Here is a 15,922-nt window from a genome sequence, read left to right as displayed (position 1 = left end):
TTTCAGGATTGAAATTCGTGTATATAAAGCACTGGGTGTAATGAATGGCATGTAGTAGGAGCACTGCTCTAAGACATTCAGGATACACATTCTATTTCTTTGTTTCTATAAATCACACCTAGCTCAGCTCCTTCTACAAACATTGCCTAAAAGACATTTTCCAGGATGCCTTCCTTGTCTTGAACCAAACAAGAACTTTTGGGCTTATGAGTGTAGGAAGACAGGAGGGGACTATCTTGAGTGTTAGCCTCAGCAATTGCTGCTTCTGTGACTCTAACTCTCTCATTGAAGGCAAGTGATTCACTAGGGACTCCTTCCATCCCTGCTACACTCAGCCATGGGTTTTTTTTTCTTTTATACCTTTATTTTTAATTGACACACAATAATTGTGCATATTCGTGGGGTACATAGCGATGTTTCAATACATATAATGTATATGATCACATCAGGGTAATTAGCATATCCCTTATCCCAAACATTTATCATTTCTTTGTGTTGGGAACATTCAATATCCTCCTTCTAGCCATTTGAAACTATATAATATGTTATTGTTAACTATAGTCATCCTATAATGGTATAGGACACTAGAACTTATTTCTTCTGTCTAGCTATAATTTTGTACCCTTTAACAAATCTGTTCCTATTCCTTCCTTCCCTCTACTCTTCCCAGCCTCTAGTATCTTCTGCTCTACTTTTCACTTCTGTGAGATAAACTTTTTTTAGCTTCCATATATGAGTGAGAACATGCGGTGTTTAACTCTCTGTGCCTGGCTTTATTTCACTTAACATAAGGGACTCCAGTTCCATCCATGTTGCCTCGAATGACAGGATTTCATTTTTATGGCTGAATAGTATTCCATGGTATATATACACCGCATTTTCTTTATCTATTTATTTGTTGTTGAACACCTAGGTTTCACAACGTCCTTTGAGTAGATCTCCAAGACAACCCAGAAATCCCTCCTTCCATGTCCTCACTCCTCAGAGATTGCTGGGGAGTGCTAAGGTGCCCGTCACTAAGATGCCAGAGGTCTTGACCCCATTCACAGTTGGGAGGTAGGGATGTCAACACACCTGGGGATTGGGTCCTCCTTAGTCCCACCCTCAAAAACTAAAGTCAATTGCTGGTGGGAATGCAAAAGGGCCCCTTTGGAAACTAGTCTGGCAGTTTCTTAGAAAGTGAAAAGTAGACATATCAAATGATCCAATAAACCCACTCATAGGTATTTACCCAAAGTAAATGAAAACTTATATGCATGTAAAACTCTGAAAGCAAGTGTTTACAGTGGTTTATTCATAGCCTCCCCAAGCTGAAAACAACCCAAATAAGTACATCCAACAATGGAATACTAGCCAGCAATACAAAGATAGGAACTACTGCTACACACAACATGGAAGACTCTCAGATACTTATACTAAATGAAAGGAGCCAGGCTCAAGAGGCTTCATACTATATTGTTCCATGTAAATGACATTCTGGAAAAGGCAAAACTATAGGGACAGAAAAACAGACCGGTAGTTGCCAGTTATTGGGAGTGGAGGATGGGATGACTATTTAGGATAATGGAACTGTTGTATATCTTGATTGTGGTGGTGATTATGCAACTGTATTCTTCAAAAGTCAGAATTTTGTGCCCAAAAGACAGAAATCATGAAGAGAAGTTGTGTAACTTCCTTTTGCACATCACAGGTCCCTATAACTCATGTGGAAAGGGTAGCCCCAGAGGGAGATATCTGCTGAGAAGGTGGGTGGGTGCTTCAGATAGAATTAATGAAAAAAATAAACATGATGAACAAAATATCAAAACTTTAAATAGGATCTGACACTGAACTTGTACAACTGGCCTCATTTGCTCAAGCCTCATCCCAGCCTTGGTAAAGCTTTATGTTTAAAAATAGCTAGGCAGACAGCTATAGTTTGAGGACTTGATTTTTTAAAACACTGTATTGTATTAAAGTTATTATTTATCTTGATTACTGAGTTTTTTTGTGCTCCCTTCTATTTTCTTCCTGGGATGAGAGTCTCACTTGCCTGACTCTAGTCCCTATCTTATTTGAGTGATTATGTAGAAAGGAGAAAATAGAGACCTATTCATTTGAACCCTGTGCAGAGCAGGCCATGCTTGTTTCAATGATCACAGGTTTCAGATTAAGCCTGGTCCTCCTGCCTTCAGAGCAGCTGCCTTCATTTACACTAGAAGACAATGGACAGACCTGGGCCAGCAGAGACCTCTGAGTGAGCTGGATCTGAATTCTCCCACTTAGAATACCCTGAACCTTGGGCATGTTCCCACATTTCTGAAAAGGGAACAATGCTATCCAACCTGCAAGGTTGTTATAAAGACTAAGACATCATCTGCAGTGCCTAGCATATGGATTGCACAGTGGGAGGCGCTTAATAAATAGGAAGTATTTGAATGTCTGAGGTGCATTTTGCCAAAATCACTCATATGATGAAAGGTTCATATTTTACAAAGTAAAGACAAGCAACATCAACAATAACAATGACAAAAACAAAACCGTATATTATCCACTTGGAGTTACAGGAGCTCCAAAGTAGAGAGGGAGGCAGGGCAGGAACCATGACCAGAAACTTTGTGGTTGCTCGCTCAGACAGTCTTCCCAGAAAAACACCTCTCTCTGTCTTGCCTAATTCTCTGCACAGGTGGACATTTGCATCCATAACAATGTCCACATTCACAATGGGGTTCTAGAGCTCCTGGTTAAGAGAGATCAGAGAGAGCTCAAGTAAGGGGCATCACTGAAGCCCCTCAGATCCCCTGACCTCCTTGCTATGCTTCTCACCTTCTCAGGAATGAGGATTGAATCCCAACCCTCAAGGCCTCCATGCGACCCAGGGGTGACAGTTCTGGATCTAGCAGAAGTTCTTCTATTTTGTGGCATGAGGATGGTCACTTGCTTGCTTCAGAACTGAGGCAGATGTTTCTCTATTTGCAAGATCTGCTGTTACTTCCACTGGAGTTTGCTAGGAAAGAACAAAGTGGCTGGGGCCAAGCTGCCATCTCACCTAGAAGTGCTCGATTCATGTTCTCTGAGCAAGAGTGTATTACTCCATTCTTATGATTCTAATAAAGACATACCCAAGCTGGGTAATTTATAAAGGAAAGAGGTTTATTTGACTCACAGTTCCACAGTGCTGGGGAGGCCTCAGGAAACTTACAATCATGGCAGAAGGGGAAGCAAACACGTACTTCTTCACATGGCAGCAGGAAAGAGAAGTGCAGAGCAAAAGGTGGGAAGCCCCTTATAAAATCGTCAGATCTTGTAAGAACTCACTCACTATTATGAGAACAGCAGCATGAGGGTAACCTCTCTCATGATTCATTACCTCCCACCGGCTCTCTCCCATGACATATGGGGATTATGGGAACTACAATTCAAGATAAGATTTGGGTGGGAATACAGCCAAACCATATCAAAGAGTATATTATGATCCATGCTGATATGAAGGAAAATTATTCTGCCTTGGTATGAGATGGATTGTGAAAAAGAAGGACAAGATTTGCTGATTTATTCAAAACATATTTACTGCATGCTTACAATATACTGGCCCTCTTCTAATCAATGGCTGTACTGTAGAGAGCAAAGTAGATAAAGTTTTGCTCTCAAGAGACTTAAATTCTATAAGAGGCAGATTGTGCTAAGCAGGAAATGGCCCCTCAAAGACATCCATATCCTGGGCCAGGTGCGGTGGCTCATGCCTGTAATCCCAGCACTTTGGGAGGCCGAGGCGGGTGGATCACAAGGTCAGGAGTTCAAGATCAGCCTGCCAACATGGTGAAACCCTGTCTCTACTAAAAATACAAAAATTAGCTGGGTTTGGTGGCGCATGCCTGTAATCCCAGCTACTTGGGAGACTGAGGCAGGAGAATTGCTTGAACTCGGGAGGTGGAGGTTTCAGTGAGCCGAGATTGTGCCACTGCACTCCAGCCTGGGTGACAGAGCAAGACACCGTCTCAAAAAAAAAAAAAAAAAATACATCCACATCCTAATCCTTGTAATCTATAAATATGTTGTTACATGGCAAGGGGGAATTAAAATTGCAGCTAGAATTAAAGTTGCTAATCAGCTGACCTTAAAATAAGATTATCCTGCTTTATCTAGGCAAGCCCAATATAATCACAAGAGTCCTTGAATGGGGAAGCGGAAGGCAGAAGAGTGAGACCAGAGAGACAGCATCATGAGAAAGACTCAAGCTGCCTTTGCTGGCTTTAAAGATCAAAGGGGTCCACAAAATAAGAAATGAGGGCAGCCTCTAGAAGCTGAAAGAGGTAAGGAAACAGATTGTCCCCTGGAGCTTCCAGAAATAATGCAGCCCTGGCCACAGTGACTTTATCTCAGTGAGGCCCATTTCAGATTTCTGTCCTCAAGAACTGCAAGATAAATCTGTTTTCAGCCACTAAGTTTATGGTAATTTGCTACTGCAGCAATAGGAAACTAACAGAGAGATAGAACCAAATAAAATGAATAAATGAATGAATGAATGAATGACATAATGTCAGGAAACAGTAAGTGCTCAGATGAAAACTAAAGCAGGGCAAAGAGATGTGTAGTGAAGGGAGTGAGTGATGGGTGATATAACAGAAGTGATGTTTTTGAAAGATGAATGTGAGCTCCAGAGAGGTTAGAGGTGGGGAACTTGGAAACAGAGCCAAGCGATGTAGTCACATGACATGACCGAGACCCCCAGAGGCAGGCAGGGCTGGGTAGGCTCTTTCATGGGTCTCCCAATAGCTAAATCGTGGAGCTAAGTTGGTTGCTTTATGTTCCACACACAATACTCATAAGAAAGGCCTGGACACAAAATGTATTGCATAAGAAAAGAGAAATTGACTTAATCTTTTCGGCAAGTCATTTGAGAGTCCATTAACTTCTTCTCTTATGCACTTGGTCTAATCCAATACTGAGTCATTTCTTTGATTCATTCTTTTTTTTATTTACTTCTTGGTTTATTCACTTATTCATTAACTCATTCAATCAATAAGCATTTCCTGAGCACATTACCAAGTCTTGGGAGTACAACGGCGAGAAAAACAAATCTGGGCTCTGCCTTCATGAAGCACACTGTTGATTCTGTTGAAGGTTTCGTGTAAAAATACCAAACGACCACTAAGTTTGACATCCACTAATCAAAACCAGCACTGGCCTAGTCTTCCTTAAAATAGCTCTGGTCCATTCTTCTCTCTCCAACTCCACTGCTACAGCCTTTTCTTACCTGGGAGAAGTCGTCTCTAAAGGGGGTTCCCCCACCTGCATCCAGACCCTCTGCAGCACATCCTCCCTCTGCAACACATCCTCCTGCAACACATCCTCCCTTCCCCACCTGCATCCAGATCCTCTGCAGCACATCCTCCCTAACACAGTCAAAATAATCTTTTTAAGAAACAGATCTGCCCCATCACTCCTCTGACTAAAATCCTTCAATGTCCTCTCATTGTCTACCAAAACTGATCCAAGCCTCCCTATGATGTGGCATATTCCTCAGCCTTCTGGTATCCTATCTGCTTGACTCCACAAGGTGCTTGTGTCTTTCCTGCACTAGTGCCCTTGCCCAAGCTGCCCTCTCTGCTTAAAGTGCTTTGCATTTCTTCCTAGACAGTCTGCTGGACAGTCTGGACAGCAAATGTGTAGAGGTTGAGAGCACAGAGTTCATATTATTTAAATCCTGGTTCTGCCACTCAGTATAGCTGAGTGACTTTGGGCAAGCTAGGCAACCACTCTTTGTCTCAGTCCCTCATCTATAAAATGAGTGTAACAATATGATAATGGAAACGATCACAGGTTGGCGATGAGCTAATATATGTAAGTAAAGCACTTAGAACACTACCTGGCATACATACAGAAGCAGCTAACAGGCATTAGTTATTCTGTATCTTCCCACTGCTCAGCACCTCTACCCTGCACATATTTCGATAATTGTGCTTTTGGTCCGTATTGCATTTATTTATTTTCATGTAGGCTTGGCTCTTCTAGTCTGTCAGCTTTTTAAAGTCAAGGATGTCCTCTGATTCAGCCTTGAATCTTCTGGACTTGGCACATTTGTTAGTATATGTTAGGTGTTCAAAATGAATGAATGAATAAATTCAATAAAATGTGATTTTTAAAAGAGCAAAAGAAATAATTGAAAAAAATCATGTTATTTTGAGCATGTCACAAGCTATTATGAAGTACATAAACCAAATGGAGAAATCTTAGTGTTTTATATGTATCCATACATTTAAGATCACTTTTTAATATTTTCAACAAAAGAAGGGCAATCTGGGAAATCCTCATGTTTTATGTTGCTCAGTCACTGATTTAAAAAATTCAGATATGGATCTTATCTTCAAAAACAAACAAGGCTGGGTGTGGTGGTACACCCCTGTAGTCCCAACTCTTCAGGAGACTGAGGCAGGAGGATCACTTGAGGCCAGGAGTTTGAGATGCAGCGTGCCATGGTCACATCTGTGAACAGCCAGTGCACTCCAGCCTGAGCAACACAGCGAGGCTTAGTCTCAAAAACAAAACAAAACAAATAGCAGTTTCCAAAAAATTGTAATGAATGTTTCATTTTTATGATTCCATTTTGCTTCATATGTTAATGAATAATCTACATGGCTTACTTTTTTTTAACTAATAAAAAATAGAAATTTATTTCTGGCAGTTCTGGTGGCTGGGAAGTCCAAGGTCAAGACACTAGACACAAACAGCTGATTCAGTGTCTGGTGAGGGCCCACTTTCTGGTTCATAGATTGCACCTTCTTGCTGTGTAGTATTTGGGCTGTCTCCTGGGTCCTGCAGGAGCTATCCACTTCCTTCAGAGGGTCTGTGGATTCTCTTGGCTTTCCTGGTATAATCCTGCAGTAGTAGTTCTGGAGCAAAAATTCACAACGTGAGTCTCCACATGCTGCTCTGTCCCTCTGAGTGTCAGCTGTAATTTAGTCCTGCCTCCTATCTGCCATTTTCCTTCCCTGATTCCATGGTTTACATTTTTAATATTTTATTAACAAAAGTAACACATCTTCTTTGAAGAAAATTAGGAAAATAAAACACAGAAAATGAATCTTATGCAGATATTTAAGGGAGTCTTACTTTTTTGGGATGAACATTGAGCAGTTCTGTAGTCAGATAATAATATGAGCTTCACTGATCTTCACAGAAGGAATGAAGTTCTTTCTGTTAAGTTCTCAAGTATCAACATCCATGGATAAAGAGGATGTTTTGTAAAGGCAATGGGATGTGGCCTCCATCTAGAGACTTCAAGAGATTGGAGTCATGCGTATTACACAGCCTGCCAAAGGGATTCTTCAGACAATTAGAGAAAGGGGTCTCCAGCTTGGGACCAGTCTGCAGGGCATGGCTTTTCTTTAAATGAGCCATCACCTCACCACTGCTCACACTTGCTTCTTTATTTTGACCACTGTGTCAGGATATGATCTTGGATAGCTCCATAGGTCTCATCTATGATGCCTCACATGGAGCTCATAGCAATTCCTTCCTTTTCAGCCTGTGTCCACGGTGCTATCTTCAGCTACTCCAGTAAATAGCCCCCAGGGCTCTAAAATGGATAAGATCCTCTGCATGCCTCTTGGCTTATCTAGTCTTCCTTACAGATCTCATCCTACATTGCTTTCATTGAATTGAACACCACCTCTCTCCTAGCAGCACTTTCCCATTGTTCAAATGCTCCACACATCTGTCTCATGGCAGCACTTCATTGCTTGTCTCTATGGGTTTATTCTCTTTTCACATTGGAAGCTTCTTGATGGCTCGGTTTATGTCCTGTGCACCTGACCCATGTAGTTGGCCTCTGCCTGGAACATCCTTGCTCCCACTGTTTGCCTAATTCATCAACTAATTATTGAGACCTCATCCAAATTTTAATTCCTCAGGGAAGCTTTCTCTGATGCCCAGATTAGATTGGGATCCCAGTGCTTTGATAGCATTCCATGGTTCATGCCATGAACTCCAGTTTGCAGTGTTATATTTAGGTGGTCGTTTGTTTAATGTCCATATTTCCCACTAGAGAGTCAGCCATATAAGGAATAGGGCTGGGTCTGTGTTCCTGCCATTGCAACTGCTGAGCTCAGCTCAGTACTTGACACAGAGCAGAGGCTGTATAAATATACTTCAACCTACTGAGATAAAGACGCAATTAACAGGTGGGGTGTAGTGGCTCATGCCTGTAATCCCACCACCTTGAGAGGCTGCAGTGAGAGGATAGGTTGAGTTCAGGAGTTGGAGACCAGCCTGGCCAACATGGCGTAACCTCGTCTCTACAAAAAGTACAAAAATTAGCTGGGCATGGTGGCGCACATCTGCAGTCCCAGCTACTTCAGAGGCTGAGGTGGCAGAATCGCTTGAGCCCGGGAGGTGGAGGTTGCAGTGAGCCGGAATCGCACCACTGCACTCCAGCCTGGGTGACAGAGCGAGACCCGTCTCTCACACACACAAAGTAAATTGGTAATTAATAACTGAAATAAGGAACAGAAATAATGACCAATGAATGAATGAATATAGTGTTTTCATTCACATAATAAACCGAGTCTAGGCAGCTTTCCTCAGTTTAGCAGGATGGTTAAAAACCTGGGCCCTACACTATTTAGCAAGTTATTTAACTCTCTCTGCCTCTTGTCCTTATCTGTAGATTGAGGATAATAAAAGTACATTTGGAGGTACTTTATATACTTGAATGTACCTTATGAGGACTTAATAAAAGCCTAAATATATTATTCAGAACAGCCTAGCTTATAGTAAGCACTAAACTCAGTAAGTATATGCCAGCACCCTAAAGAAACCACCTTTGTCTTGAATCATGAAATTTCCATGATCACTACACCAAATCATTGCTATTTTAACGTACCTACCTTGGCTCACATTGATATAAATATTTAATCAAATCTCTTTGTATATTTTTAGTGGTTGTCACTCTGTATCTCTAAGTTCTCCAGAGCTGACTTACCTATCAGGGTGGCAGGTGCAGTGCTGGCAATACTTGTCGAGACCCACAAAAATGTTTTAATTCCATCTAAAATCTGAAGGAGAAAAAAAAACCTTGTAAGTCAAAGAAAATGTTTTAATATGTAATATTCATACATTCACCTGTTTACCAACATTGTTGTAGAATACACCTCTATGACTTTTTTTTTTAAATGGAGGAATAAGAGGTCTGTGAAGGCAAAGGTGCCCAGGGCCCAGGAAAGTCACAGCACAGCCTGGCAGTTCTTAACCTGCTCCTCTGCATCAGAGGCTTCACTCGACAGTGAAATGAAAGAATCAAAACACCAGTGTGGCTTTACAACATTCATACACCATCAGAATACATCATACATCATCAGAATACCTACATATACATACAGAATACATATATATATATACAGAATACTTACCTATACATACAGAATACATCATACACCATCAGAATAGTGTATGGCAAGGACAGACTGCTAATTGAGAAAGGACATCTCAGCACTAGGTAACCTTTCTATGTGGGTTCTAACCCCCAAAAGTGTGTGCACCCATGAATAACTTGCTAAGTAGTGTAGGGCCCATGTTTTTAATCATCCTGCTAAACTGAGGAAAGCTGCCTAGACTCTGGTTATTATGTGAATGAAAACACTGCATTCATTCATTCATTGGTCTTTATTTCGGTTCCTTATTTCAGGAGGACTCCTCTTCACTCTCTTTCATCCGTGTCTTCTTCCCCACTTGTTCTTCAGCCCTTGCCCGTTGCCTCCCCAACATATTTCCTGCACCTGCTTGTGCTCACCTTTGCCAGTCCCTCCTTGGTTCCTCCCTTGCTGTCTCCTCCCCTGTGCCCCTGCTGGCATGCCTGCTGTGATGAGCTCAGCCTGAGGCTTCTCATGTTGCTTTGGTTTTGGGGTTTATTTTAGCATCTCCTCTTGATACCTCCACCTCTCCCCTCTTCTCTTGTCTTTATTCATTATTCTCGCTTATTGTTTGTCTTTGTGTTTTAGTTTCTTTTTTATTCTAATTTTGGGACACTCTTGGTTTTGAATTTCTTTGTGTTTGAATCTTTTTTTCCCCCCCAGCTCCATTCTCTGATGTCCTTTCTCTCTCTCTCTTTTTCCCTCCCTCCCTTCCTCTTTCTTTCTTTTTCTTCCTTCCTTCCTTTCTTCCTCTCTCTCTTCTCCCTTCCTTCCCTCCCTCCCTTCTTTCCTTTCTCTTTCTTTCTTTCCTTTCTTTCTTTTTTCTTTCCTTCTTTCCTTCTCCTTCCTTCCTTCCTTCCTTCCTTCTCTCTCTCTCTCTCTCTTTCTTTTCCTTCCTTCTTTTCTTTTCTTTCTTTTTTTCTTTCATCTCCTTTCTCCCTCTTGCCCAGCCCTATCTCAGTTCTGTCAGTTCCTTCTTTCTTTTTTTGCTTCCTCTTCCTCTTGAGGACCTGACCTCTTCCCTCCCACTTCTAACCAGGGCTGTGAAAACTCCGCCTTCTCTTCCAACTGGTGCAGCCCAGGGGACACTGTCTCCCTCAGCCATAAGGGCCACTGGAAAGGAGACTCAATGTGTGACTGAGACCTCATCTCCCTGAATTAGGCCTCCGTGCACAGCCACTCATTAGATCATTCATTTTTCCCGGAAGACATTGGGAAGGACGGAAGTAGAAGGCAAATGTGTCATGTGTTCTGATGCTTAGCTGCATACTAGGATCATTAAATTACCTGCCACTGACAACCCTGGTGCAGAGAAAAAGTGGCAATTTGTTCTTGTTTCTAGTCACCCTACTTGCCTCAGCAGACAGCATGCTCCTGTCCCCCATGCACACACTGGGTGGTTGGTGATCAAATTTAATTATTCTACCTGCATTAAACATAGTCAAATCTTGTCAATTAAACAGCATCTTCAGCAAATATGTAGGCTGTTCTTTGGGTAACAACGCTCAATATTGCAGATGCCTCCCCCTCCCCTGCTTCTCTCTAAGGTGGCATGGAGTAGGGGCGGGGTTCTCCAGCTTCTGGGAAGGAACACGCCGTCCCTGCCTTCTCTGGTCCTGGAGTGCTGACACCCGTTCTTTCACTGTTCCCAGATGAAGCCTGAAGCTGCTCTAATTCAAGATCTGGTCTGTATCGGGCTCCTGCCCCCACCACTCAGTTTCCACAGACAGGCAAGAGTCCTCTGAGGAATGGCTGTGAACCCCAGGTCCTTGGCACAGGAGGCCCTGCCACAGAGAACCACTCAGGACAGATTTCCAGTTAGGTTCTTGGCTACTTCTGGGTCCTGTTTGTGTCACTCGAATATCAAGGTCACCCCAGGAAAGGTAAAAAGCAGCCTCTCCATCTGTCTAACATGGCTGTACCTTGCTACACTTGCCAGTTAGCCTGAGTCCTAATCAGGACATTTCTGTCCTGATTCTCATTTAGGACTTCAGGTTAAATGGGAATCAGGACAAAATCTCTGCTTTCTGTAGGCTCCCCTGAATTGATCTAACACACACATGGTAATACTGGTCCACACGTAGACGAGGCTTAACATGTACTTCTCATGATTTAATTCTCACAACACCCCTAGGAGGGAGATGCACGATTATCACTCACATTTAATAGGTGAAGAAACTGAGGCACAGAGGTTGAACGCCTTCCCCAGGATTACACAGCCCTATGGCAGAGGCTGGCGTGGGGCCACAGCCTGGCAGCTCTCCCCTCTCTGCTGACACCCCGGGGCCTCCTCCCTTTATTCCTCTCTGCTTCTCTTCCCTGCCCCCTGGCCTGAAAAAGGCGGGTTTTCTTTTATTTCCCCCATGCCTGCTCTTCTACCGTGAAGCTGGGATATTTACCAAATAAAGACTGGTTTGGGTTCAGTTCCTTTTGAACCTTTTCTTCTGCATGTCCAGAGAGAGACTGCATTGATGCCAGCTGCCAGGCAAATGTTTCACTTCTTCCACTGTCCACTTCAGAAGAATTCTGGGGACTGCCAAGACTGGCTGGTGGCAGTCATCCAACTCCCATATGGAGATCTATCCAGAATGTGTCCTCGAGAGCCTCGCTCAGATATCAGCTCCACCTCGGCAGCTAATCTTATCCCTGTGGACACACATGGCAAGACTGCTTCCTCTGGCAGCAGCAAGGAATTTGGCTAGGGCTGGCCTCTCACCATCTCCCGCCTGGGCACCCTGAGTATCAGCAGCTGCCCAACATGCGGCTGCTGGCCGTGATGGTTCCAGAAGGGAGGCACGCCCTTCTGTCTTCATCTTGTACCCCAAGTAACCTCAGACAAACAGGATCAGAGTTGACAGTGTTCCCCATCAAGGCCACAAGCCCTTCAAATGCCTTATACATGAGCCATGTGTACCTGCAGAACCCAGGGTTTCACTCAGATTTCTGGATCCCCTATCAAAACCTTTAAATACACAGTTTAAGCCTTATGAGGTGTGATTCTATTGCTCAGTTAGCAGTAGCTTTAAGTGCAAAGACTAGCTTTGTAAGGCATTACAAACGTATAAAATGTGAATGGAATCTACAGCAGGCAGGTCTTTCCCTAAAGGACCATGTTCTAAACGACTTCATAGATTTATTTCTTTCAGTCATTTAACAAATATTTTTAAGTAGAATCTCTTCTTCCTCTTCACTTTCAGATAATACTATTTACTATTCCTTTCAAATCCTATAGCAATGGTTCCCAACCTGGTATATTAGGATTCTTATGTGTCCTGAAGGGCACTAAGGGAGGTCTTTAATATATTTTCAGTATTTCTTACAGAAAATAGACTTTTATGATAAGGTTGTACTTACCAGTTAAAAACATTTCTTTGCCTTCAAGTGAAATGACAAATGACCCAAGTGGCATCCATACAGATCTGATTACCACTCTTTAACTGAAATATATGGAAGTGTAAATAATTCATAACATGATAAAAGGGCTTTGGAAGATGGGCGTTTCTGCTATGTGGTGTTCACATGGGGAAAGGATGCCCACTTATGAGAGGACAGGGTCCTGCTGCCGCTGCATTGTCACCACAGTCATGTCTACTCTCCCTATGGCAGTTCACAGTATCATTGTCACTGTGAATATTGTCTTTTGCACTTATTACACAAACTTCTGATTAGAGAGGATGTCAAGGCATAGTGGCTGAGAAGCCCATATTTTTGTTCAAGTGTGCCCCAGGGTTCAGTGGCCACTGAGGCCCTAGATCATTCTGGGTTCCACAAACTCAATAATAAATATTTGTCAGCCCAGGCACCGTGGCTCATGCCTGTAATCCCAGCACTTTGAGAGGCTGAGGCAGGAGGATGACTTGAGATCAGGGGTTCAAAACCAGCCTTGCCAACATGGTGAAAATACAAAAGTTAGCTGGAGGTTGGGGTCTGTAATCCCAGCTACTCGGGAGGCTGAGACACGATAATTGCTTGAATCCCCGGGGGTGGAGGTGGCAGTGAGTCAACACTGTGCCACTGCACTCCAGCCTGGGCAACAGAACCAGACTCTGTCTCAAATAAAAAAAAATTGTCATCTTTATCACAAACTGGAGCTATTGCAATTGGATTCGTTGAGCCCTTTCCTCTAGAACACCCTCACTGTAAAAAAACAAAACAAAATTGGGGACTCTTACGGTGGAGCTGTGGCCCCGGGGGGCCATCTGGCATGTCATGGAGAGGAAAAATGCCCCTACACCTGCAGTGACAGCGCCCTCTGCTGCTCCCATCTCTCTGCAGAGATGGGTTGGGATAATGCAGGCAACAGCCACTTAGTGTCAAGTTCTTCACTCAATAATTAGAACCCCAGTTCACTGGAGAGCTTCAACAAACATTTTGAGTGCTGCTTTTCTGCTGTAATTGTAGGCACTACAGAAAAGAAGGTCATTATGAATGCCCTCAAAAAGCTCACAGTCTGATGGGAAATCAGACCTGTACCACCTAGCTACTAGAGGATGCGTGAAATCCTATGTGTGCTTGGAAGGAGGTGTTATGAAGCAGATCAGGGAAAGTACAACATTCTGGGAGGGAAGGGTGGTGGCAGAAAGCTTCACAAAAGAAGCAGCATTTGAATTGGCTCATTGAAGGGTAATGATTTCATGGGGGCAGAAGCAGTTGAGGATTCTGGCTTTACTTTGAAAACACTTACGAGGTGGAGGAGAGGCTGGGCTTGGTGGCTCATGCCTGTAATTCTAGCACTTTGGGAGGCCAAGGCGGGCAGATCACCTGAGGTCAAGAGTTTGAGACCAGCTTGTCCAACATGGTGAAACCCTGTCTCTACTAAAAAAGAAAAGAAAAATACAAAAATTAGTCTGGCACAGTGGCATGTGCCTGTAGTCCCAGCTACTCTGGAGGCTGAGGCAGGAGAATCCTTGAACCCGGGAGGCAGAGGCTGCAGTGAGCCTAGATCATGTTACTGCACTCAAGCCTGGGCGAGAGAGCGAGACTCTGTCTCAAAAACAAACAAACAAACAAACAAACAAACAAACAAACAAACCAAACAAGAGGTGGAGGTGATAAGCTTCCCAAATATCCTTTTGATTAATCTTTCCAAGTTGCTGGCCTTTTTTCCCAAGCTTGCAGGTTTCTTAAACATTCATTCCACTGGTTTCACCTGTCTCAGATCATCTCCTTGTTCAATGCAGTGGTTCTCAGGAAAGTTTGGACCACCAATCAGAAACATCACAATTTTGTTTTCTTTCTTTTTTTTTTTTTTTTTGAGATGGAGTCTCACTCTGTAGCCCAGGCTGGAGTGCAGTGGCACCGTCTCTGCTCACTGTAACTGCCTCCCGGGTTCAAGCGATTCTCCTGCCTCAGCCTCCCGAGTAACTGGGACTACAGGCGTCCGCCACCACGTCCCGCTAATTTTTTGTATTTTTAGTAGGGACGGGGTTTCACCGTGTTAGTCAGGATGGTCTCGATCTTCTGACCTTGTGATCCGCCCGCCTCGGCCTCCCAAAGTGTTGGGATTACAGGAGTGAGCCACCGCGCCCGGCCCAACATCAGAACATCCTAGAAGTAGGAACTGGGTAGAAACGCAAATTCTTGGGCCCCAACCTAACTGCTGAATCTGAAGCTCTTGGAATTTCATCTGATACAAATTCAAGGTTGACAACCACGGTTCTAACATGCAGGATCTTGGGAGCTGATACAGAGGCCGAGAAGGATCTAGGTTGCTTTCCATGTTCCATCATGGCGAGACCCGGCTGAAGTTCCTGCCTTGACCTTCTCGTGCACGCTTCGGACGTGTGGAGCAGCCACCAGGGTGGGCTGGGGGCATTGTCTTCTTGGGCAGTTTCTTGGTCAGGGTCGTGTCTGCTTGAGGGCAGAGGCGCTGGCCACAAGGCCCTGACTCAGACTCATATTTTCCCCTCAAGAGGACAGAGCCTTAGCAAAGCCGTCCCAGCTGGCTTTGGGGTAATGCTGGCCTTAGTTATGCTGAGCGATGCAGCCCTCCTGAGGTCATTCGGAACGCCCGGGAGAGTGGCCACTCCCGCCCCAGAGGGGGAAGGGTGGCCGGTTTCCAAGTCCGACTTGGTCAGGTGACCGCGGCGCGGCATACTCAGCGGCAGAGACGGAAGAACAGCGCTCCCGAGGCCGCGGGAGCCTGCAGAGAGGACAGCCGGCCTGCGCCGGGACATGCGGCCCCAGGAGCTCCCCAGGCTCGCGTTCCCGTTGCTGCTGTTGCTGTTGCTGCTGCTGCCGCCGCCGCCGTGCCCTGCCCACAGCGCCACGCGCTTCGACCCCACCTGGGAGTCCCTGGACGCCCGCCAGCTGCCCGCGTGGTTTGACCAGGCCAAGTTCGGCATCTTCATCCACTGGGGAGTGTTTTCCGTGCCCAGCTTCGGTAGCGAGTGGTTCTGGTGAGTGCGCTCCCTTTTGTCTCGTCTGCCGCGCTTTTGTCCCCACCCGCAGCCTCCAGCCACCACCCAGCGGGCCTGGTTCGCCGCCTGGTGCTGCCTGCACCCTCGTCGGTTTCACCTCCCACTGCGTTACCC

General features: G+C 44.5%; 1 protein-coding gene and 1 long non-coding RNA gene across 5 annotated transcripts in view, besides 4 other annotated features; one reads left to right on the top strand and one right to left on the bottom strand.

Annotated features, from left to right (window-relative positions):
- Positions 1–1,274: 1,274 nt before the first annotated feature.
- Positions 1,275–15,413, bottom strand: LOC105378035 (uncharacterized). 4 transcript variants are annotated; one of them, XR_007059796.1, is made up of 4 exons: positions 14,422–15,413; positions 11,789–14,204; positions 2,806–9,035; positions 1,275–2,719 (listed from the first exon to the last, which is right to left on the bottom strand). It is a non-coding gene; the product is annotated as an uncharacterized LOC105378035 (long non-coding RNA). The 4 variants fall into 4 exon arrangements; XR_001744402.3 differs by lacking the exon at positions 14,422–15,413 and having other exon boundaries at positions 2,806–2,986; positions 8,963–9,035; positions 11,789–13,232; XR_007059795.1 differs by having other exon boundaries at positions 1,275–9,035.
- Positions 14,518–15,178: an enhancer, noted in NCBI's record as "H3K27ac-H3K4me1 hESC enhancer chr6:143833157-143833817 (GRCh37/hg19 assembly coordinates)". NCBI's record gives its function as "activates a minimal SCP1, AML or CMV promoter by ChIP-STARR-seq in naive H9 embryonic stem cells {active_cell/tissue: H9 hESC(naive)}" and the evidence as "EXISTENCE:reporter gene assay evidence [ECO:0000049][PMID:30033119]".
- Positions 15,179–15,841: an enhancer, noted in NCBI's record as "H3K27ac-H3K4me1 hESC enhancer chr6:143832494-143833156 (GRCh37/hg19 assembly coordinates)". NCBI's record gives its function as "activates a minimal SCP1, AML or CMV promoter by ChIP-STARR-seq in naive H9 embryonic stem cells {active_cell/tissue: H9 hESC(naive)}" and the evidence as "EXISTENCE:reporter gene assay evidence [ECO:0000049][PMID:30033119]".
- Positions 15,200–15,379: an enhancer, noted in NCBI's record as "active region_25201". NCBI's record gives its function as "activates an Ori minimal core promoter by ATAC-STARR-seq in GM12878 lymphoblastoid cells {active_cell/tissue: GM12878}" and the evidence as "EXISTENCE:reporter gene assay evidence [ECO:0000049][PMID:35858748]".
- FUCA2 (alpha-L-fucosidase 2) overlaps positions 15,478–15,922 on the top strand; it is a 16,909-nt gene continuing 16,464 nt past the window's right edge. Inside the window, exon 1 of the mRNA NM_032020.5 lies at positions 15,478–15,787. Within this exon, the coding sequence (NP_114409.2) occupies positions 15,564–15,787 (224 nt within the window). The 5' untranslated portion in view covers positions 15,478–15,563. The remainder of the gene's footprint in view (positions 15,788–15,922) is intronic.
- Positions 15,490–15,619: an enhancer, noted in NCBI's record as "active region_25200". NCBI's record gives its function as "activates an Ori minimal core promoter by ATAC-STARR-seq in GM12878 lymphoblastoid cells {active_cell/tissue: GM12878}" and the evidence as "EXISTENCE:reporter gene assay evidence [ECO:0000049][PMID:35858748]".

This window comes from Homo sapiens, chromosome 6 (genome assembly GCF_000001405.40).
Source record: "Homo sapiens chromosome 6, GRCh38.p14 Primary Assembly".
Classification (NCBI taxonomy): Eukaryota; Metazoa; Chordata; class Mammalia; order Primates; family Hominidae; genus Homo; species Homo sapiens.
Note: the sequence above shows the minus strand (reverse complement) of the source record. Positions and strands in the feature narration are given on the sequence as shown.